Raw genomic sequence first — 25,313 nt, forward strand, 5'->3', positions numbered from 1 at the left:
CTAGGAAAAGGAATTAATCTTGAGCAAGGCACTCCCCATAGGGTTGACAGCTAGCAATCTGTTGCTGTTATCTGGCCCATCACTTGGTGAAATTAATAGGTCCTTCACTCCAAAAGGGAGATTTGGCTGGGGTACGACCAGATCCATCCTGCAGTCACATCTAGTCATGATACATTCTCTGAGATAGCTAGAGTGGATGTACTCATCCATTTTACTGATAAAGAGATTTAAAAAGTTCATTGACTTGCCCGAATGCTCACAGTTTATAAGTAGCAGAGCTGAAACTGAAACTTATCTCTTCTGATTTTCAGTTTCTATTTATACATTATCGTTTTAAAATTGCAGAGGTGGATGGAGATATAGTTATGGCTATACATGTTTATAAGTCTGAATGTATTTTATGTCAATAAGTAAGATGCATTCATTTAATAAACATTTCCAAATTGCCGTCTATATACAAAGCCCTAGAAGGAATGCTGGTAATATAGAGAAAGAAAGACACAGTTCCTGTTGTTTAAGAACTCCTGAACTAGTGAAAGAAAGAGATAAGTAAGCAACAATTATCACCTTACCAGGTAAGAGCTGTGATAGAGATAGATAGAGTGTGATAGAGTATGTAAAAAAGCACAAAATAGCCACTGCCTTTCAGCCCAGGTTCTCCAGACACTGTTGATACTCAATCTGGGTTCGAAGAATTATAAGAGAAAGGCAGAAATAATCTGAGTAAAGTCTTCAATTTGCAGAACTACAAATAATCCAGTGTAACTACAGTATCAGATGGTATTAAAATGGTGAGAGATAAGGCTGAAGAATTGATCTGGTACTGGAGCTTGATGGAAAATGGGAGGTTTTCAGTGTGGTTTGGAATTTCCTTTGAAGACATGAAGAGCCAGTGAAGAAATGTTTGCTGTAGAGGGGCAAGATGATATCTGAGTTTTAGGAAGATCACCATGCGGAATGAACCAGAAAGGGGGTGAGGCTGAAAGTCGATAAACCAAGTAAAAAAAATGAAGCAATAATCGATATGAGACACAGCAGTGGCCTGAATTTCAGCCTGCTAACTCACATTCACATGGTTTCTCCTTTTTATTAGGATGCATTAATTAAATTCCCTAGCAAAAGGCAGAGAATCAAGAGCACTCTGGAGAAAATAGAGGAAAATTCCTTTTGGAAAGAAGAAAGGATGGTGAAAGTGAAAGATGTTTAGTTTCAATAACCTTTAAAACTCATAGCCACAGAGGACTGTGTGGGTCCTCAGATCATTGAGAGGCCTTGGGTGGAGAAATGAGGATAAATGCACAGGGTTACCTCTGAGTGATCACACATACACCCCATCAGTGCCATTTCCATGCTTGTGAGGTGTGGAATATGGAAAGCCATAGACATCTGCCCTCTCCCATTTTGTGTAGTTCTCCCAGGCAGTTGTATTCTGCTTGGGGTCCAGCTCATACCTAGGGAAATTTATTTGAATCTTCCTGGTGGAACATTCCTATGATGCAAATCCAAAATGTGCAAGGATGCAGTAGCATTTACTGAGTACCTCAGACATTCCAGTACAAGGCAATTTAATACATTTTGTCCCAGTGAGCCCTTGCAAAAGTTCACCTATCATTATCATAAAGAAGCTGGTTCAGAGATGATGCCATGTGCCCAAAGAAATACAGCCAATCCATGCCAAGGTTGGGTTCCTCTGTTAGTCCGCACTGACCCCCATGGGCAGGCTCTGCACTGATGTCCAGGGCTGGATTGTAAGCTTACGTTGCTCCTGGAGTTACCCAATTCTATGTCAAGTAAACATAGGCTTTTTGAGCAGAAGCAGCAGCTGTAAAATGCCTCAAGATGAGTAGCAACAGGCAATCTACTTTATCTCTAGATTAGCATAGGGGTTAAGAGTACAGGTTCTGGAGTTCGACAAACCTGGGTTCAAATAAAAGTTTCTGAACTTTTTACTTGAGGAAATGTATTTAAGGCTGTTTTCTTACCTATAGACTAGAATGACCACAGTGTTGCCTCACAGGATTATTTTGAGAAATTAATGAGTAATTGACTTAAAACACTTGGTAAAATGTCTGGCACATGGTAACTGCTCATAGAGGTGAGCTAATACTAATACATATTACCTTTTCAATTACTTTTCATTTTTCTTATTCTACAATGAAAGAATCAGCTCATCGATGCTGTGAATTGACATCAAGAACTGATGTGATTTTTTGGTTAGATGAAATCATTATTTCTTTGAGAAATATCACTTGCAAAAAACTAACTTTTGTCTCCAATGCCTTTTCTCTCCTTTCCTTGCTCTTCTGTTTCTGTAATGAGAAACTGATGGGCATTTTCCTGCTCAATTTATTTGGATTCTGTAATTTTCTTTATTGCCTTGCTTTGCCCAATAAACCTTATGAATTTTTTCTTTTTACATTTCCACTTCAGGGTGTTTGGTGCTGTGATGACGAAAAATAAAACCTGAGTTACGATATGATAGGGCAATAACCATACAGACTTGCTTTAATCTTCCTGAGCCTCAATTTCCTTTTAAGTTACATGAGATCTATCCTACATATCTCACTGCTGTAATGAGCGTCAAAAGATACAGTGGTGGTAAAATACATTATAAAGCTTAAAGTTCTGTAAAAAATGTAAGATTTTTATTTTATTGCTGTTACACAGCAAGAAAAAACTTCAGATAAAAGTGGTCATGCGCCTATTTTAAGTGCTAGCTCCTACAATAGGGAACTACTGAAGAGCGTGTTTTGTCTGAAACTGACATTACTTTAAAAAGGGTGAGAGAACGATTTCCTTAAAATTTGTGCCTATGTTTTACAGGAAAGGGAGGCAGAGGGCTGACAATGGTAAGGCTTGGAAACGTAATTGATGAAAGACTCGCATACACGTGGTTTGGTTAGGCTCGTGCGTGTTTAATTATATGATCAAAAGAAGGAGGAGGCCGGGCGCCGTGGCTCACGCCTGTAATCCCACCGCTTTGGGAGGCCGAGGCGGGCAGATCACCTGAGGTTGGGAGTGCGAGACCAGCCTGACCAACACGGAGAAACCCCGTCTCTACTAAAAACACACAATTAGCCGGGCGTGGTGGCACATGCCTGTAATCCCAGCTACTCGGGAGGCTGAGACAGGGGAATTGCTTGAACCCGGGAGGCGGAGGTTGTGGTGAGCCGAGATCGTGCCACTGCACTCCAGCCTGGGCAACAAGAGTGAAAACTCCGTCTCAAAAAAAAAAAAAAAAAAAAAAAAGGAGGGACAGTATTGAGGTGGCCATGGGTTTTATCAGACCAACCCTTCCCAGCAACTGTCAGAAAAAAACAAACAGGAGATTGCATAGAAAGCAGTGGTGACTTCTGTAAAGAAAGGGTTGCAGAAACGCCTGGGCCATCGACATTTTTCACCTCCTCTAATAGATGCTACTCACTATCACCAGCCTCAGTTCCTTAATACCCACTACAATTCCTTAATACCCACTCAGTTCCTTAATACCCACTACTTGCTGTAGAGGGACAAGATGATATCTGAATTTTAGGATATCACTTCCCTGTGTGACCTCAGGGAAGACAGTCTCTGAGCCTTACTCAGTTGTGTGCTGGTGTTTTGAAAATATATACACATATATACACACAGGAGTTTATCATAGATTTTACTGATATAAAAGATGTGTAGCATACATTTTATAAATACGGTATACAATACTCTGTAGTATAAATTTCCTATAGCCGATTGTTAATCGCAGAATCATTTCATTGATTTTTGCCTACTCTTACACCCACAGCTAAACTGTGGTTGGGACTGACTGAGTGATTGTAGTTCTGAAATGAATTGTTTGTTGCTGTTTAATTTACATTTACAATAAGATAACAGTGAAACAACAAAGGCACATGTGAGAATTTCACTTATTTATTAGTGAAATAATATCACTAATCACTTAGTGACCTAAGTGATGTTGTTGCCAAATCAAATAATAATTTTTGAGTAATGAAAGAATAGTTTCTGAAGGAATTTTTATGCTATTCACAATCTAATAGCTGTGGACACGTTCCTTTTTTTTTTTTTTTTTTTTTTTTTTTTTTTTTTTTTTTGAGGCAAGGATGGGTCTTACTCACTCATCCAAGCTGGAGTGTAGTGTTATGATCACAGTTCACTGCAGCCTCGAATTCCTGGGCTCAAGCCAGCTTCCCACCTCAGTCTCCCAAGTAGTTGGGACTGTAGGAGTGTGACATCATGCCAAGCTAATTTAAATTTTTTTTTAGAGAGACAGAGTCTCTCTATGTTCTTCAGGCTGGTCTCGAACTCCTGATTGCTTCAAGCAATCCTCCTGCCTTGGCCTTCCAAAGTGCTGGGATTACAAGTATGAGTCACTGCACCTGACCTCCTTCTCTTAAATTTATTCTGCCTCATAAACATTTTCTCCATAATTATCTTAGGTCTAGACAAAAAACAAAATAATGAATTAAGCTGTAGTTTACATCATTTGCTGATTTTGGAGGGGGTAAAAATTCCCACTGTGGTCTATTTCAAGTGACAGTTCGTCCTACTGAATGTGAAGGTAGGGAGAGATGTACAGTATTACATCAATCTATAGTCTTTGCACCATACAGTGATAATAACTATAAGTAAATTTAAGGACAAAAATATTAGAAAAATGGAAACTGTTAACTTTTGAATATTGCCTTTGTTTTATTATAAAGTATTTAATAGTGAGTTTATAGTCTGTGTTTTTAAAGTAATGGTTAAGTTCAGCAACCACTTCACAAGATTCCTAGAAATTAAAAATCAGCCATCATGATTTAGTGAAAGTTGACTTGATTTAGTGAAAGTTGACTCCAACACACTACTGGCCTTTAGTGTTCCTTGTTTTGTAAAGCGGATGACCAGATTTTGAAAATGTATGCAAAATGCTTGGTATACTCTCTCCAATTTTTAAATGGCATTTTTTCATTAATTCAGTGTACCTTTTTGTATCTTGATTTTTTAGCATTAACAAACCCCTTGTGAATTTCTCTGCCATGTAATACCTTGTTGGATTCGAAAGTGGCATACTGAAGTCTTCCCGAATATGAATTCTCAGACATCACATAAGAGATGTATGCTTACTTCCGTAATGTAATTATTACACAATAAGTAAATCCACTTTTCTGGTCTCTGCAATATACATTTCTGCAGGCATTAGAAGGCTCTGCCTTTAAAGAACAATCACAAGAACCTGCTTTTTATCCCCACTTGCCTCATTTCATTTTTCCCATTAGCAGCAATTTAAAAATTCTTCCAGACTGCAGCTCTCATTGTGCCTTTTTGCTTTACTGCAGAGTAGGTCTTTATTCTCTTTACTCTGAAGCTTTAATATTTGAAATTGGTCTCATAAATTAAAAAAGAACACTCATATGGATGATTATTTTAAAACTCAATCAAAAAGTTTTTTTTTTCTTATTCTTTTTTGAGGGCAGTGGAAGAGTAATGGATAAATGTATAATCAACTCACATAAAATTCGACAAGTGGATATTTTATGATATTGCCTTCTGGGAATCCAAATAGCATGCACTTTTTATCATAACAATTCAGTCCAATTCCGTGACCAAGGGAGAAGAGCACAGCACATTTAAGAACCAGTTGTAGGGACCTGACAGCGTCTTGCTGCCAACAGCAAAGCTGAAATGCGGAATCCCAGCCTGAAACAGGGACATGGGGCTTTATGAGTTCATACACGTGGGGATTTTAATGGGAGCAGCTATTTGGACATCTTCTTTTTCTCTCCCACATGCTGAGTTGAAGAGCTGGAGAATGAGGTCGTATAAATTTAGAATGTACCAAGTAGCTAAAATTGCTGATTCACCTGTACACTTTGGCCATCACTTATCTAAGGTAGTTTCTGGCTAAAAAGCCCATGGAACATCCACTTTGGAGATTTTCAGCAGTCAGAACTGTTTGCAGCTTGTCTGATGAAACATTTGCCAATACAGATCCAAAGGCTATATTGGGAGAAGTGTAGTTAAGTTTAGTACATTTCTAAATTGGAACACAACAGGTTTATCACAGCTAAACCCAACCTCAGAAATGAGGAATGAATTTGCTCCTTTATTTACCAGATTCTGTTTGATGTTGGCATTAAATAAGTAGAGGCAAGAATTGGCAGGCCTGTGCAGCAAAAGACATGGATCGGGAAGCAACAAATTGAATTCAAGGGGCACATAAGAAAAATTGTGATAGGAATGCCAACTGTAACATGGGATGACATTAAAAAGCAATGGAGGCCAGGCATGGTGGCTCGTGCCTGTAATCCCAGCTTCTGGAGGCCGAGGTGGGCAGATCACCTGATGTAAGGAGTTCGAGACCAGCCTGGCCAATGTGGCAAAACCCTGCCTCTACTAAAAAACAAAAATCAGCCAGCCATGGTGGTGCTCGCCTGTAGTCCTAGCTACTTGGGAGGCTGAGGATGGAGAATCGCTTGAACCCGGGAGGTGGAGGTTTTAGCAAGCCAAGATCCCACCACTGCACTTCAGCCTGGGTGACAGAGTGAGATTCTGTCTCGACAAAAAAAGAAAAAAAGCAATGGAAGAGGCAGATAAGAATGCAAGCCTCTTGATTCCAGTAGAAGTTATCCCACTTTAAAATGGCAGTAATTATTGAATTTGAAAATCGAACCTTAGAGCCACACTGAAGACAGGAATGAAAAATCAAGTTTTTTTTAGTCCTGTGAAAAATGATGTTGATACTTTAAGAGGAATCATGTTGAAACTGTAGATTGCTTTGGGCAGTATGGCCATTTTAATGTTATTGATTCTTCCAATCCATGAGTGTGGAATGTTTTTCCATTTGTTTGTGTCATCTACTATGTCTTTTAGCAGTGCTCTTCTCGTAGAGATCTTTTACCATGGTTAAATGCATTCCTAGGTATTTTATTCTGTTTGTGGCTATTTTAAATGAGATTGCATTTTTTTTTGTTTGGCTCTCAGATTGAATATAATTGGTATATAGACATGCTACTGATTTTTGTACATTGATTTTGTATCTTGAAATTTTACCAAAGTTGTTCAACAGTTTCTGGAGCCTGGAACTCATGGCTGATGGCTGATTGGTGAAGCCTTTAGGGTTTTCTAGGTATAGATTTATATCATTTGCAAATTAACCAAAATAGCATGGTAGTGGTACAAAGACAGACACACAGACCAATGAAGGAGAATAGAAAACCCAGAAATAAAGCCACATACCTACAGCCATCTGATCTTCAAAAAAGTCAACATGCTCTCTATTCAATTAATAGTGCTGGGATAGCTGGCCACCCATATGCAGAAGAATAAAACTGGACCCCTACCTTTCAACATATGCAAAATTAACTCTAGATTAATTAAAAATTTAAACTATAAGAATCCTAGAAGAAAACCTGGGAAACACCATCCTGGACATCAGCCTTGGGAAATAATTTATGACTAAGTCCTCAAAAGCAATTACAACAAAAACAAAAATTGACAAGTGGGACTCAATTAAAGTAAATAGCTTTTGCACACAAAAGAAACTTTTAACAGAGGAAAAACAAAACCTACAGAAGAGGAGAAAATTTTTGCAAATGTTGCATCTGACAAAGATCTAATATCCAGAATCTATAAGGAACTTAAACAATGAACAAGAAAAAAATAAATAACCCCATCAAAAAATGGGCAAAAGACATGAATAGACACTTCTCAAAAGAAGTCATGGCTGGGCGCAGTGGCTCACTCCTGTAATCGCAGCACTTTGGGAGGCTGAGGTGGGCAGATCATGAGGTCAGGAGATCGAGACCATCCTGGCTAACACGGTGAAACCCTGTCTCTACTAAACACACACACACACACACACAAATTAGCCAGGCATGGTGGCGGCGCCTGTAGTCCCAGCTACTTGGGAGGCTGAGAGAGGAGAATGGCGTGAACCTGGGAGGCGGAGCTTGCAGTGAGCTGAGATTGCACCACTGCACTCCAGCCTGGGCAACAGAACGAGACTCCCTCTCAAAAAAAAGAAAAAAAAAAAAAAAAAAAGTCATACAAGTGGCCAAGAAACATAAAAAAATTTCACATCACTAATTATCAGAGAAACACAAATCATAACCACCATGAAATATCATCTCACACCAGTCAGAATGGCTACTATTAAAAAGTCAACAAACAACAGGCTTGTGAGGCTGCAGAGAAAAGATAACACTTATACACTGCTGGTGGAAATGTAAATTAATTCAGCCACTGTGGAAAGCAGTTTGGAGATTTCTCAAGGAACTTTAAACAGAACTGCCATTGAACCCAGCAATCCTATTACTGGGTATATATTGAAAAGAAAACAAATTATTCTACCAAAAAGAAATATGCACTTGGATATTCATTACAGCACTATTCACAATAGCAAAGTCATAAAATCAACCTAGGTGATTTGATAAAGCACATGTAGCACATATACACCATGAAACACTACACAGCCATATAAAAGAATAAAACCATGTCCCTTGCAGCAACATGGATGCATGAGGAGGCCTTTAACCTAAGAGAATTAGTGGAGAAAGAGAAAACCAAGTCCTGTATATTCTCACTTGTAAGTGACAACTAAATATTGGATACTCGTGGACATGAAGATGGGAACAATAGAAACTGGGAACTACTGGAGGTGAGAGGGAGAGAAGGAAAGGGTTTTAAAACTATTAGGTACTCTGCTAAGTGACAGGAGCATTCAGACCCGTAAACCTCAGCATCACACAATATATTCAGACAACAAACCTGCACATGTACCCCCATATCTAAAATAAAATTTGAAAGAAATAATTGAATTAGTCCTGAAATAAATAATTGAAAAGTCCTGAATTATAACAGGACATTTCAGTTTCCATGTCCCATTTACATTTTGCATTTCAGTGTCTGCAGAGTTACTTTATTTACCCATCTGATGTCCTTGAATGGGACCACAGGCCTGTGCATAAGAAGGGAGGGTGAACTGATATCTATTTCAGAGGACAGGCTTATGGTGCACAATGTACAGCCAGTCAGCAGAAGCCTCAGGTTTTCCCAAGATGCACCACTGCAGCCAAAGGCCATCTGAGAAAATCTCCCAGGAGGAGCTTTTTCTCCTGGATGTCCAGAACCTTGCATAAGAAATCAGACAGGACGTGTAGTTCAAGCTGAGCGGCAGCAAGCACAATGGAAAGTGAGGGGAGCTGGTTTCTTTCCATGGGAAGTGTCCATAATGTAATAGAAATTGTCTATAGGGTAATAGATTTCAAACTTTTTTCTCCTCCCCTCTGCCACCTTTAAGAATGTGGAATCTTATTCAGGATTCAATTATCTTTTCATAGATCTTAATAGAGCAGAATGATTTGAAACCCTGGTTGCCCACTGTCTTCCTCACCTACCTGGGCTTTCCAGAGTATTTTTTGCAGAAATCTGGGGATCCTGGAAATACGAGGTGAAAACTGCAGAGCTGGATGATCTCTAAAGTTTGTTACATCATGAGTATTCATGATTTCATGAAGGTCACATGGGGAAGCCAAGACTCCAGTTGAGTCTTCCGATTGCCCTCAAATTGGCTCCTTCATTCCTCACTGTGTCCAGCCATGTGTCCACCCACAGCAGTAAAGTCAGTTAAGGCCAAGTTTCCACTCTCAGGAGACGCATGACTGAACCTCACAGCCTTGCTTTGGTTTGGGGGAAATGACCTTAGCTTTGGGCTCCCGGTCCAGATTTATAAATGGAAGCTGAGAGTTGGCCCTTTGGGGAGACCTAACAAAACACTCTTCACTTTAGCATTGTTCAATATCTAGTCATCTGAAAAGCTCTGTCCACGTCTCCATGTTTTATGGCACTCCCTCTTGTTTACTTTGTTTCAATCACTGTGGTCTTCCTTCACTCCGTAAAACTAGAACAGCTTTGCATCACAAGGCCTTTGCGTATATTGTTCCTGCTGCATGCAATGCTCTTTCCTTCGCTCTTTACCAGGTTAACATCTACTTCTTGATTCAAACTTCAGCTCAATAGTTCCTCTCCCAGGAGATACTTCTCTGACCTTTTTGTCCACTTGGAACCAGTCTATTGCTCATGCTTACAGTGAAAGGCAGCTGTCTTTCATGGCCCTTAAGCCAACTGTGAATTACAACTAGCAAACTTACCATGGCAAATAATCTGTGTGATTATTTGATAAATATTTACTTTCCTTTCTAGACCAGGGATTGGAAAACTACAGCCCTCGGGTCAAATCCAGCTCACCATCTGTTTTTGCAAAATTAAGTGTTACTGGAACATAGCCATGTTAACTCATTTGCATATTGTTCATAGCTGCTTTCACACTGTAACAGCAGCGTTAAGTAGTTGCAACTACCCACAAAACTAAAATACCTGGCTCTTTAGAGAAAAGCTTTGCCAACACTTGCTCAAGACCATAAGCTTCTTAAAAACAGGAAATATGACCATATTGCTCATCATTTTGTCCCTCTGCAGCTAACCCAGTTCCTGACATATATTCCTGGCTCAATAAATATATTTTTAATGAATGAATCAATGAGTGATTGACAAACACATTAGTTATATATGTGGAATATAGTCAGAATTACAGAGTAGAAAATTGCATCAACAATATAGGAAAGAAAGCCCTGTTTTTGAATGGCATTTTTATTTTTTAAATATTCATCATTATCAAAAAAATGAGAAATAGAAAGTGTATTGGTGAATGATTTAATATTCAATGATATTAGAGTTGGACAAATCAAAATAACAACTAATCTTGTGTTGAATTAAAACATAAAATCGTGATCAACCATCCAAAGCAAGTGTTTCCATGCAACTAATACCCTCAAATTGCCCGCCAACAATTCAGCCTTTTTAAATGAGGCATGTAACTAATAGATTCTATTTTTTAATACTATTACAAAATATGACTTGTTTCTGGTTGATTTAAAAATATTTTATTTGTTGCACAAATGGCCTAAAATATATATAAAACAATCATATTGCAAATTTTGCTATTCTGTGAGAAGGCATGCATTTTTTCCTCTAGGGACAAAAAATACAGTATAAATTGCCTCCTTGGTAGATAATTTCTAGCTTTTGACTATAAATTGATACATTAAATACACACGGAGAGACATATATTTAGAGGGTATTATTTTGCTTCATTTTTGAACTTAGTTTAAACATTTATTTTTTGCTGGTTTTGTAGAACAATAATCAATGCACAGATTGGGGGCCAGGATGGGGTGGGGAGGCTTTGATGGTATATTGACAGTTTCCTGCTTGGCGACATCCTCAGCCTTTCACAAGGCCACAAGTAATTTACGATGGCAATAAAGACCTGAATATTTTTCTGTATTCAAGGTAGCTCCTTGCTTCCAGAAGAAGCATAGCCCTGCTTTTGAATGTGATCCACGTAGTAGATGTGGAAGACAGCCCTTAGAAAGAGAGGCCATTAGATCAGGAAGCAGCTGTCTGGCAGTCCCTGTTCATATTCAGCAGCCATTCCTGAGACGTGACTGTCACTGCTAAGCAATTTCCCAGGGCCTTGTTCGTTTGGCACACTAGACAAAGCCAGTCTTGGCTCGGTATATCTCAAAAGGCAGGTCTGTACCATAGCAGATTAGTGCACAGGCTTATCTCAGTTCAAAAGCTGCTTCTGCCACTGAGTAACTGCTTGGGGCAAGTGCTTGGACCTGGCTGTGCCACAGTTTCTTCATCTGTGCAGATGGAGGAAATAAAGCAACCTGTAAAGAAAATGGTTGGAACCATCTCAGGCGCACAGTAAGCACTCAATAAAGGAGCTATCATTATTAGCTTTTTTTAGATCAGACATACATTTTATTTATTTATTTATTTATTTTTGAGACAGAGTCTCACTCTGTTGCCCAGGCTGGAGTGCAGTGGCGTGATCTCGGCTCACTGCAACCTCTGCCTCCTGGGTTCAAGCAATTCTCCTGCCTCAGTCTCCTGAGTAGCTGGGATTACAGGCGCCCGCCACCACGCCCGGCTAATTTTTGTACTTTTAGTAGAGATGGGGTTTCACCATGTTGGTCAGGCTGGTTTCGAACCCCTGACCTTGTGATCCACTCGCCTCGGCCTCCCAAAGTGCTGGGATTATAGGCGTGAGCCACCGCGCCCGGCAAATTTTATTTATTTTTAAAAAAATTTTTGGGGTACATAGTAGGCGTATATATTAATGGGGTACATGAGATGTTTTGATACAGGCATGCAATGTGAAATAAGCACATCATGGAGAATGGGGTGTCCATCCCCTCAGGCATTTATCCTTTGTGTTACAAACAATCCTATTATGCCATTTGTTATTTTAAAATGTACAATGAAGTTATTATTGACTTTAGTCATCTTATTCTGCTATCAAATAGTAGGTCTTATTAATTATTTCTATTTTTTTTGTATCCATTAACCATTTCGACCTTCCCCCATCCCCCCACTACCCTTCTCAAGCTCTGGTAACCATCCTTCTACTCCCTAGGTCCATGAGTTCAATTGATTTGATTTTTAGGTACCTCAAATAAGTGAGAACATGTGATGTTTGTCTTTCCCTGCCTGGCTTATTTCACTTAACATAATGACCTCCAGTTCCACCGTGTCGTTGCGAATCACTGAATCTCATACTTTTTTTATGGGTGAATAATACTCCATTGTGTATATGTACCACATTTTCTTTATCCATTCTTCTGTTGACGGACACTTAGGTTGCTTCCAAATCTTAGCTATTGTAAACAGTGCTGCAACAAACATATGAGTGCAGATATCTCTTTGATATACTGATTTCCTTTCTTTGGGATATATACCCAGCAGTGGGATTGCTGGATCTTATGGTAGCTCAATTTTTAGTTTTTTGAGGAACCTCCGAACTCTTCTCCATAGTGGTTGTACTAATTTACATTCCCATCAACAGTGTATGAGGGTTCCCTTTTCTCCACACCCTTGCCAGCATTTGTTATTGTCTACCTTTTGGGTATAAACCATTTTAACAGGGTGAGATGATATCTCATTGTAGTTTTCATTTGCAATTCTCTGATGATCAATGATATTGAGCACATTTTCATATGTCTGCCATTTGTATGTCTTCTTTTGAGAAATGTCTATTCAAATCTTTTGCCCATATTTTGATCAGATTATTAGATCTTTTTTCTGTAAAGTTGTCTGAGCTCTTTATATATTCCAGTTAGCTTTTAAAACAGAATTAAATAGGTTGGGCACAGTGGCTCACGCCTGTAATCCCAGCACTTTGGGAGGCCAAAGCAGGTGGATCATGATGTCGGGAGATCGAGACCATCCTGGCTAACATGGTGAAAACCCGTCTCTACTAAAAACACAAAAAATTAGCCAGGCATGATGGCAGGTGCCTGTAGTTCCAGCTACTCGGTAGGCTGAGGTGGGAGAATGGCGTGAACCCAGGAGGCGGAGCTTGCAGTGAGCCGAGATGGGACCACTGCACTCCAGCCTGGGCGACAGAGCAAGACTCTGTCTCAAAACAACAACAACAACAACAACAACAACAACAACAACATCAACAAACAGAATTAAATAGTTTGAGTTCCTTCTATATTTATTGTTAGCTTTTAAACAGAATTTCTGAGACAAGGACTTCTTTCCTAACTGAGAAAGCTTATGAGGACAGATGTCTTTTCCCACGAGGTTGGGCTTTACATCCATATTTGTGGTTATTCATGTTCTAATTCATAGGTTTCATCTAATTATTCAACATGATTAAATAATTATTCAGCCTTAGGTTATTCTGAGAACTCAATGATGCTCAACTACTCTCCAGCAAGATCTTTGATACAAAAATGTCCATGGTTCAGCTTTCATGCTGAACCATAAAAAGAATGTTCCTCTTCCCTTTACTATAAAAAGGGAAAGAGAAATAACATTTCTTGACCACCTAGCTATATGCTAGATGTTGGGTTAACTGACTGCACTTTGCTAATATGATTCACGAAGTTCTCATGATAACCAAACAAAGCAAGGGTTGAAGTCTCTCTTTGACATATGGATGAACTAAGGATTGGGAAGATAAGATATTTTTCTAAGTACTACAAAGGGGCAGAATTCAAACCCTGGTCTATCCTCCCTCTGCTTGTTATTCGTGTATATGAGAAGCTAATGATTTATCATGAATTTTCCCTGTTTAACAACATAAGGTTCTTTCAAGCAGGGGCAGGACATGTTTAGCTTGCCTAGAAACTTGACTTGATTGCTGTCTCCAGTTGCCTTATCGGGTATCCCAGAATATCCAATTCATTCTTAGGCCAGAGACAAACCTGCAAGTGACTTTAAATAGCAAACATGGTTTCTGTTCAGAAATTGGATTGCCAAAACTTGTTTTAATGTGAAATCCTTTCTCCTCCTACAGCTCCTTCTTTCTTCTACCATTTCTCTTTCTCCTTCATTGTCTCCTCTGCTTACAGCCAGAATCCATATCCTGTTCCAAGATGCCTGTTCCAAACTCCCATCACTAAAGTTTAGGTAAGAAGGCCTTCCTCCCCAACCCATTGGCTCTGGGATGGGGTGCGGGGAGAGGCACTGACAGATTCCACAGCCGTCTCTAAAAATCCTCTTTCAAAATTCTCTCTCTTTAACTTCTTCAATGGTTATATAGCCTCAAACTGGACCAGGGGACTCTGTCTGGGGAGTCCAAGAGTTGTGAAACTAGTTCTAGTTCATTCGTTTTGGAAATCTGCAACCTCCAGTGAGTGTGCAATGTCTACTGTACCTTGATACCTAGTGAAGAAGTCAATTTTATCATCGTGTCAACACATACAACTCACTTGCAGTTTTGCCATTTGCTTTGACCCTTGTATTTGGAGACCCAGAATCTTCCCTAAGCCCTGTTCTCATTGGAACTTTCAGGTTTTCTTCATCATGGAAGTCTAGCAGGGGCCTCCATGCCTGAGTTCATGAATAGAGCTTGTTCCAAAGACCAAGTGTTTGCATACAAGGATAGAGATACTTTAGGCTTAAAGGAAAATGTGTGTCTTAGATTGATTTCCAGACTGGGCCCCCAAGTTTAAGTAGATGGCCAGATGGATAGGAAGGCTTCTAATAAAAGAATATGACAACTGCACAAAAGAGGAATGGCATTACCCTGTGCATAAAGAACTAAGTATGCACACCCCTGTGTCTCTATGCATCTGTTTGTTGCACTATAACAAATAATCAGAAGACATTGGGGTGGAGAACCATGAAGGGTCAAAATTCCTCAAATACCTGAAGAGTGGAGCAGCGGCAGGAACCCCTTAATTCCTGAGCAGACAAGCTGGCATTTGAACTGTATCCTGGGGCCCCCCAAGAGGCTGGTGATAAAATCAGAAGAAGGGAAAATGATTACAAGAAAGGTTAGCATCCATAGAACTTGGGAGAGACCTATTGGAACTCCCTGAGCAATCTGGGAGGAATCCAAGGGCATCCAGGGTTCATTCTGTTCTACAAGTAGGGGCTGATCTAGGATAGTAATTGGGACACCACTATGCTAGGTCTGGCAGGACCAGGATGCCTGGATAAATAAGAGGTAGACCCGTATGCCATTCCCCACCTTCCTCCAAACCTTCTCAAGTCCAATACACTCCTGCTTCCAGGACCCTCTTTGTGGCAGAGAGAACAGGGAACAACAGCCCACCAAGAAGGCCCAGGGCCCCCATTCTTTCAGCCTTTGCACCCCAAGGAACCTGGAGGACACACCCTTTCTACCATCCCTGGTTGCTTGCATAAGAGTCTGACCTCAGCTAATGATGGTTCTTCTAATCCATAAGGACCTGAGAGAGGACCTCCAGTGGACAAGGGCCACTCTTTGAGACAATGGTCAAAGGAAAAATAATAAATAATTGCACTTTCTTAGGTGGGTTTGTCCTGGTGGGTTTAAGCCCACAAGAACCTCCAAATTGAGACTGATTCACCTGGTTATAAAATCATGATAATTCCTGCTTCAACATGGCCATGAGCCACATTCCACTTTATTCTGCAGGTTTGGTGTGTTCTGATTTGGCCCAAACCTGCAGGTTAAGTGAATGTTGTTGTTAGGAGTTAAACAGAGTCAGAGATTGGAATCCCAAGGCTGATGGAGGCCAAAGCTACCATCAGTCCCTCCCAATAAGGCCACCCTTTCTGATGACTTAGAATTCAAATCATGGAGGCTTCTAACAAAAAGGATCTATTTTTTGTCCAAGGTTGCTTAGAACTTTTCTTATTCCCACCTTCATCTAACATATGAGGATACAATTCAGAGGGATAAATTGGCTCATCCACTCTAACAGAGAAGGTTAGGGACAGAGCCACAAGTCCAACACTCCTGAAAACACTGAGCCCACCTTACCACCCTCCAGGAATACTACCTGGTACAAAAAGCAAAGGCCTCAGCTACGGTTCCTAAACGGAACTCTGCAAGAACCACGGGTTCCCAAAGGAGTTTCCCACAGTTCATTTAAAGCAAGGAAGAAAATCTCAGCAGAAACAACTTAAAAACAAAGAATGCCCACTCCAAAGCCTCCGAGCCCCAATGCTGAGGCGTGCTTACAGCTTTTAAGGCATCAAAGCAAAACAAAAATATTCCACAACCTCCATGTTTGAGAGCTACTTATTCAGCAAGTCCTGCTGCTTCTCATCTCCAATATCTAAATCTGTGGGATTTGCACTGATTAAACGTGGGCGGCTCAGAGCGTTCTTCTCCGTGGCAGGCTGTTGCACTTCAGGCAGCTCAGCTCAAAGAGACACTTCCACGTTTAGCTTACATTTTCCCTTCCCTAATTTGTTTTATTACTCCCAGACTCATTTATTGATACCTGATACTCTGTCCACTTATGTGTTTCCTGTCATTAGCCAGAGCCCCGGGAACTTTCATCACTTTCTCCAGAGCAACGGGGAGTTCGTGTCTCTCCTTCCAATTATTGCTGCGAGTTTGAGGATGTCATCTTTTGCCCTTTTCAGAAGGAGAACTTTCTGCAAAGGACAAGACATTTGTAACAGGATGTCTGGTGCAGAAAAAAAACTCATGGGGGATCAGGGTAAAGTGACTTGTGGATGGGGGTGAACATCACCAGGATGGCAGTGCTTTCCCTCTGTACCCCATTCTGTGATTAATGGATATCCTCTGTGGACCGATGAGGTGAATCCCAAAGGTCAGCCTAAAGTGACATTTTTTTTGGTCACAGCTTGAAAGCAAGTTTTATTTAACAAATAATATAAAAATATGCTTTAGTTAAAGCCCTTTCTTTTCTGCCTGATTAAGACAGAAAATATCACATTTCCGATCACCTTATTTTCTTAGGTACTTAAATTGTTTTCTTTTTTCTTCCTAACAATAGGCACGACTCAGCCTGTTCCTGTCCCTGAGGGACTCTTAAAGCAACTAGGAAATTATAATTTAAGAATAATCTAATTCAAATTGCAGTCATTACACTCGGCTTAAATAAGGATCTTGCCATCATTACATGTTATAATTATGTCACCACATGCTATATAATTCCAATTAGATGATGATTACATGCCATATATTAACATTAATTGTGTAACTAGACATAACCATATGTTTATACGTGGATTTAATTACCTTCTTTAAAAATCCTATTGAAGAAGATGTATGTGACACATTTTTAAAAGAGGAAAAGTAGCAAGGAAAAACTTGTTCAAGTAAATATATAAAATCAATCATATGGAGGAAATGTAAATCATTGAAATAGGCTTTTGAATTAACATTTGTGTGATTACCCTGGCTTCGTATTTTTGTTTGTAAAAATCATATAATAATATTATGAAAGTTCAAAAGATTCAGGTAGATCGGCCATAAGCTCATCGCCAGAACCCAATTCCTTTCCAGGTCCAGCTCATATCCACATACACGTGTGACTGCCTGCGGTTTTAACAACTTACAAAATGTTAATTCTGCATTTTCATATAACGTGTCATAAATGATTCTTTTATTATGTATTGCCTCATGTCCATCATGCACGCTATTAACAGCAGTATGGTGTATTGATTGAGAAAGCACTGATACCAAAATAAGACACCCTGGTGAGCCGGGCGCAGTGGCTCATGCCTGTAATCCCAGCACGTTGGGAGGCCAAGGCGGGCAGATCACCTGAGGTCAGGAGTTCGAGACCAGCCTGGCTAACATGGCGAAACCCCGTCTCTACTAAAAATACAAAAAATAGCTGGGCATGTTGGTGGGCACCTGTAATCCCAGCTACTTGGGAGGCCGAGGCAGGAGAATCACTTGAACCTGGGAGGTGGAGGTTGCAATGAGCCGAGGCCGAGCCATTGCACTCCAGCCTGGGCAACAAGAGCAAAACTCTGTCTCAAAGGGGGAAAAAAAGACTCCCTGGCTTGGTGGCCTTGATTAATGGACTTAACTTGTTTGTGCCTCAATAGTCCCATCTGTTAAATGGCAATAGTGAGCACCTACCTCATAAGGTTACTGTGAAAATGAAATATGTTATTATATGCAAAATGCTTAGAAAAATGATGCAAAGGAGAAATTCAGTAAAGGTTAAGTAGGATTGTGCTGGTGGATGTCTCTAGCCAGTTGAGAACCATAGTTTACTTGATTCATTTCCTATTTGATGGCAACATTAATATCTCCAAATTCTGATATTGTCAGTAAGGCTTGGGTACATATTTTTGTGCACATAAATTTCTCTTTCTTTGAATTTCTCTGGGCAAATTATCTGTTGAACATCAGAAATACATCCATGTAAATCTCTTTTAATGTTCCCTTCCCAGGACAGTGCCCAGTTTTTAAAAATAATCAGCTCAGCATAGAAAAACAACGGAAAGAAATTTAAATTTTTACTGCTTTATTTTTTAAAATATTTCTGATAAGCAGCAAAAAACATAACATCTTTGTGCAAACCTCTATTTTTCCCTCCTCATGCACACCCCCACCCCCACCCCCACCGTAACCTCAAAGTCTCCTTCCCCACTAAAGCCCTTCTTCTCATTGCCCATACAATTCAGTCCATTGAAGCTTGCGTTATCACCTCCTCCCTTCTTACCAATAACTTTCTGGTCTTTCTAAGTTTAGCAATTACCTTGTTTGCATCTAATATGAGCGCAGGAGATTATCTACCAAAGGCTCACTGGAGGGGGTCACAAGAGGGGTGGGAGGAGGCTGAGAGGCAAAGGGGTATTCTTAATGTAGGGCAAAAGAGAACAGGAGCATTAATAAATCTGTCTATCTATCTATCTATCTATCTATCTATCTATCTATGTATCTATCTATCTATCTATCTATCGTCTATCTATCCCTACCTATATATATCCATATATCTATATGTTTACCTATATCTATCTTCTGTCTATCTATCCCTACCTACGTATATCTATATCCATATATCTATACCTATACCTATAATATCTATCTATCTATCTATCATCTATCTATTCATCCATCCCTACCTACATGTATCTATATCCATTTATCTATACCTATACCTGTATCTATCTTCTATCTATCTATCCATCCCTACCTACATATATCTATATCCATATATCTATAACTATACCTATATCTATCTATATCTATTTACCCATCCATCCATACCTACATATATCTATATCCATATATCTATGCCTATACCTATATCTATCATCTATCTATCTCTACCTATATATATCTATATCCATATATCTATACCTATACCTATATCCATCTGTCTATCATATATCTATCAATCAGCTATCTAGTCATCCATCCATACCTACATATATCTATATCCATATAGCTATACCTATACCTATATCTATCTTCTATCTATCTATCCATCCCTACCTATATATATCTGTATCCATATATCTATACCTATACCTATATCTGTCTATCTATCTATATCTATCCATCCCTACTTACGTATATCTATATCTGTATACCTATGCCAATACCTCTATCATCTATCTATCTAACATCTCTACCTATATATATCTATATCCATGTATCTATACCTATATCAATCAATCAATCTATCTATCTATCTATTCATCCTATTCATCATCCCTACCTACATACATCTATATCCATATATCTATACCTATACCTTTATCTATCTATCTGTCATGTATCTATCTATTCATCCATCCCTATCTACATATATCTATATCCATATATGTATACCTCTATCTATCTATCTAATCTATCTCTGTCAGCTTGCTATGACAGCTTTTTGCTGTTTTTATATATTCTAAATTGTTTTCCTAAAGTCTTATACCAAGTGTCTAAATTACTAAAAACACTGAGCAAGTCAGTACAGCACAATCCACGCTAGCTACAAATGGCATTGTTTAGTGGTCATCAGGCATAGGGTGCAAATTCTTAGAGAACCTTTCTAAACATCATATTGATTTCTATTCTCTGCTCTCTTCTTCGGGCTTCTCAGAGCAGAATCATCTCACTTGTCCTTGAAGGGATGAAGAGAGTTTAAGATGGAAAGTTCAGCTCATGTGCTTTTATAATAAGATGTATGCGAGGTTCACTCATGCAACCCACTGTGCCATTGGGAAATGCAGGAATGGGCATGCAGGACTTTCATAGCTCAGATATGCTCAGGAGCAAGTCATGCAGCACAATTGACTAGTAGGAAACAAAAGGGAGAGGGGATGGTATCAGTAGAATGAGAGACGGGGAAAATACCGACTCCAAGGGATGACTCTTCTAGGGAGCTAAGCTATTCAATAAAGCATGCATTGAGCCCAGATACAGTTTGGGACACTGTTGGTGAAGACCTTGGCCACTGGGTAGCATTGCTCTGTCAAACCACATACAAGGCCTGTGGGTAAAGGGAGAATCTAGCAAGGGATAGATAGATGTCGAGCTCTAGACAAACCAGGCACAGTTTAGAGTAAACCTCTAGTAACAAGAAGGAATTAAAATTTCTGGCATGGAAAAGTTTACATTCTAGTGAAATAGATAGACATAAAGCAAACATAAATAAATATAAGTAAACCAAAGAGTAGTCTAAATGTTATGAAGAAAAGACATAGGTAGTTCCGTAGAACTTTCTGTAATAATGGAAATGTTCTATATCTGTGCTTTCCAATCTGGTAGCTAATAGCTGCAAGAGGCTGTTGAGCACTTAAAATGTAGCTTAGTGTGACAGAATAATTTTTTATGTTATTTAATTTTAGTAAATTTAAATTCAATAGCCACAGTTGGCTAGTGGTTACTGTATTGAACAGTGTAGCTCTATAGCATCATAAATTTCTCTATTGCAGGATTTAATGCACATTTATAGTTCCGTATTTATCTCTGTGATTCTTTGTTTAAGGCAAGCATCATTTACATTTTGTCTGTTGTTGATTCTCTAATGCATAGCATAGCACCTTGCACATAAATAGTTGTTCTATTGGCAGATCACCTGAGGCCAACATGGTGAAACCCCGTCTCTACTAAAAATACAAAAATTAGCCAGGCGTGGTGGCAGGTGCCTGTAATCCCAGCTACTCGGGGGGTTGAGGCAGGAGAATCGCTTAAACCCAGGAGGCAGAGGTTGCAGTGAGCCGAGAATGTGCCATCGGGCTCCAGCCTGGGGGACAAGAGCAAGAGTTCATCTCAAAAAAAAAAAAAAGTTAAGTGAATGATTAAAAGTGAAAAACTAGAAGACATAAGAAATATGCCAGTGCCTCAATATATAGAAACAAGAATAGTTCTACATCTCTCAAGACAGTGGAATAAGTTTGTTACTGGTTTTCCTACTCTTTTAAACAGTGGCTCAAAAACAAAACAGGGCTGGACGGTTTTGATGACTTGGAGGGGAGGCGTGGAAAAATGAGATCCTGGTAGTGATTGAGATATTTGGAGCTACACCTGGCGTGTTGGTTTGAAGTGGGGCCAAAGAGCCGGGTTTCCTACATGTATCCTAGGAAGGCCAGAGCTTTGGAGACAAAGTGGTACCTGGCTCTGAACGTCTAGAAATTCCTTATTCTCTGAGCCTCTTTTTTTTTCAAAAATGTAAAATATACCTACCTCATTAGGTTTTTCTGTGAGCTGTAAGATATTCATATTGCTTACCATACATTAATAAGCACTGAATAGCTTTGAATGCTTAATAGCTCCTTGCTGCTATTACTTTTATTCACTTCTCACAGTGCTCACCCTGACATCCATATTTTCAAAAATTCTTATGGAATATGGGATTCTAAAGGAATATGTGTCACTGACACATAGAATCCTTGCTGAGCTAGATGTACCTCTTCACACAGTCATATTCACATAGAGAATCTAGAAAGTTGCTTTGTTATTACTGAACGGAATCACAACCTATGTAGCAGGCTGGAAATACCCTTGCTCATGCATCTATTTTTTTTCTCATATCTTCGATTTCTATCTGAGGAAGTGTTTTCAGTCTTTAATGTAATATCCTCAGTAGTAAGAGGTTTCAAAAACACAACCAGGGCAATTCCTTAAGAAGTTTAAATACTCTTCAATGAATATTCCAATATTTTAAAATAAGATATATTGCAGAAGACACAAAAATACTTCATGGTAATTTTCTTCGATAAGCAAATAGTGGAATCTTATCCAAATAAGCCAGGCTTTAGCTATAGATTCTTCACATTTCCAGTCCGGGTCAGTTCTGTAATTATATTTTTCACAGTGTATAAGATGATGTTCATGGATATTTCGATGAAGAGTGAGATATTCCTCATTACAATTATTCCCATGCGATGTTTATTTCATTCTTTATCAGGAGCTGTTTTGTCATCACCTTAAGCAAGAAAGTCATTGTTCACATTAGTGCCACGTTTTGACACATTAGTGCCACGTTTCTTTTAGCATTTCTCCTTCTTGAATGCCTGGACCTGTTTCTGAAGGCAAAGGCGGATGATTGTTTATCTGCCTGTGTATAAAAGGCAATTGCTTTCGGCACTTCATTTGTACTATTGTCAGATAGGATCATGTTACAGCCCTGCCTCCCTTGTTGGTCTGTATACTGGTAAACTGTGTGGCTGTTCCCTGCCTAACCAGCTTGCTGCTTTAAGGTGACCTGTCCTGAAATCCCAGACAAACACATTTCGTGATACAAGTTCTGCCCTCATTTCTATCTCAGAGCTATGTGTCTGGACCCTATGACTCTGCACCCTCTCATAGCTGAAGAGTGTTATCAAGAGTAAACACTCAGGATTGATAATGGTCTTTCAAAGGTCTAAAAACACACCCACAGTCCAATGACCTATTGAAAGGAGGATGAGTGGTTTCTTTTGATATCGGGCTGCTGGACAGACTTTAGTGAGTGAAAGATTATGCTGCTTATTTACCTGGAAAAAATCGACGTCATAAGGATGCCCCCAGGCCAGTGGGGAAATGTCCACTCTGTGTACATTGTATAGGGATTAAGACACAGCCTCCAAAGTCAAACCTACTTGTGACTGAATCCTGGCTGCACCACTTAATGTATGTGAAAGCATTGGCAAGTTGGTTAATCCCTGCCTGACTCAGTTTCACCATCTGTTAAATTGAAGTAAAAATAGTACTTAGCCCCTAGGGTTCTTAAAAGGATTCTATGAGTTATTACGTTGAAAGGGTTTGAATGAGTACTGACCCATAGTAAGTGTTCAATACATATTTCTGTTATTGGCTTAGCTTTCTATTTTCACCATTATGGTACTTAACAATGAACGATCACTTCTCATGCGTTTGTGAGTTGGTCTGGTGGATTCTCCACTGGTCTTGTTAGAGCTCTCTCATCCTACGGGGGGCTCAGCTCTGTAGGATGGCAGGACAGGCTGCTATGGCTGGGTCTGTTTCCCCAAGTGCTTTTTTCTTCTGGATTTCTTTAGGGCATGTTTTGTCAGTGTCCAACAGGTTAGAACAGAAGCTGCATACCTCTTAAATTCAAGGTTTGGGAGTCACACAACATTCTTTAATTTTCATTTTCTGGATTAAAGTATATCCCAAAGTCAGTTCAGATTCCTGCGAGGGGAAAACATTCCCTCCTATTTTTTTATGGCAGAAGTGGTAAGATTACACTGCAAAAGAGATGTGCATACAGGGAAGGGTAGAATTATCACAACCACCTTTATAGACAAACTACTAAAACATCTGATAGCCCCAAGTCACAATTATCTATCTATGCCCGTGACTATGTAGGCAGTGAACAACTAAAGACCAACCAATGGAGGGTGCAGTATCACCCTGTATAGTTCACACAGTCCAGCCTGCCTTTCTCTCATTTGTTCGTTATATCCTGGCCCTTGCTGTGGGTCTCTGCAGTTCTTCATGCAAAGTCAATAGCCTCAACAGCCAGAATCACAGCATCATGGTTTCTGAATGTGACCAATGACTAGGGTCACAGAGAAATGACTTGCCTCACCTAGTGTCAGATCTTATTATTAGCAGAGGTTAAGACCAGGTCTCCTCATTGCTCATGACAGCTTCTCTTCAATGTAACATAACTATCTGTTTTGCAAACTTTTATCTGGCCTCTGCAGAAGATTTTTGCTAGTTCGGAAGTAGTAAGTTCAGAAAGGAATGAAGATAAATAAAATTAGAAAGTGGGACTGTGCCCAATAGTTTACACATAGTAGATAGGTATAGTGGAGAGTTAATGAGTATTGGTTCAACTAAATGCACACCTAGATATTGAGATTCAAGAACCACTCCTACTGTTCTGCATTTTGCTTGTTGCTGCTGCAATGCCACCATTCAGATTTGCACTGCTTGGCCATTAAAGTGATAGGGAATTGTGTGTGGTTTTACAATGACACTGTGATTTAGCCATCTCAGTTTCAGTCAGGAGCAAGAGAACCATTTAAGATAATAATATTAGCATATACATAGAACTTTTGATCTTCAAATCTCTTTAAAGGCATTAGCAAATTAATTTTCCCAGAACTCTTAAGAAGCAGGTAATTATTTTTACAGTCGGAGAGAATAAATCTGACTATGTATTGACCTGCAGAGGCTACCCGATGAAGCAATGCCAGCTAGGGCTCAAGTCCACCCGCTTGTCTCCTCTTGCTCACCAACACATCCATCACAGGACTCTCAAGCATTCCCAGATCATTATGATGAGATTAAATCTCACCAACATTTATTGGAAATATTTATTATGGACTCAGCAACTCTTTAGAGTTCCAATTGGGTGGAGAGGAGGGAGGATAAAGAAGATATCATTTCTGATTTTAAACACCATTAACCACCCAAAGCTACCAGGAATACATGGAGAAATGGCTGGGTCAGGAAAAGGACAGAATGAATGTGTAACATCTTGCTGTGCTGGAAAGCAATGAAGTGCTCAGAGGCTGATGCAGACATGTCAAAAGGAGGATGAACTAACTTGAAGGGACTCCAGCTGGTCAACGTTAGGGCAATACGTCTATAAAATAGAATAGAGATA

At 39.5% G+C, this 25,313-nt stretch overlaps 2 long non-coding RNA genes across 3 annotated transcripts in view; one reads left to right on the plus strand and one right to left on the minus strand.

The window, feature by feature from the left end:
• LINC01580 (long intergenic non-protein coding RNA 1580) overlaps nucleotides 1-25,313 on the plus strand; it is an 83,450-nt gene that overhangs the window by 31,595 nt on the left and 26,542 nt on the right. The window lies entirely within an intron of this gene.
• LINC01581 (long intergenic non-protein coding RNA 1581) overlaps nucleotides 1-25,313 on the minus strand; it is a 202,536-nt gene that overhangs the window by 26,893 nt on the left and 150,330 nt on the right. Inside the window, exons 7-8 of the long non-coding RNA NR_120320.1 lie at nucleotides 16,770-16,926; nucleotides 15,202-15,287 (exon numbers count right to left, since the gene is read on the minus strand). This is a non-coding gene — a long non-coding RNA (long intergenic non-protein coding RNA 1581). The remainder of the gene's footprint in view (nucleotides 1-15,201; nucleotides 15,288-16,769; nucleotides 16,927-25,313) is intronic.

The sequence above is a fragment of the Homo sapiens genome, chromosome 15 (assembly GCF_000001405.40).
Source record: "Homo sapiens chromosome 15, GRCh38.p14 Primary Assembly".
Classification (NCBI taxonomy): domain Eukaryota; kingdom Metazoa; phylum Chordata; class Mammalia; order Primates; family Hominidae; genus Homo; species Homo sapiens.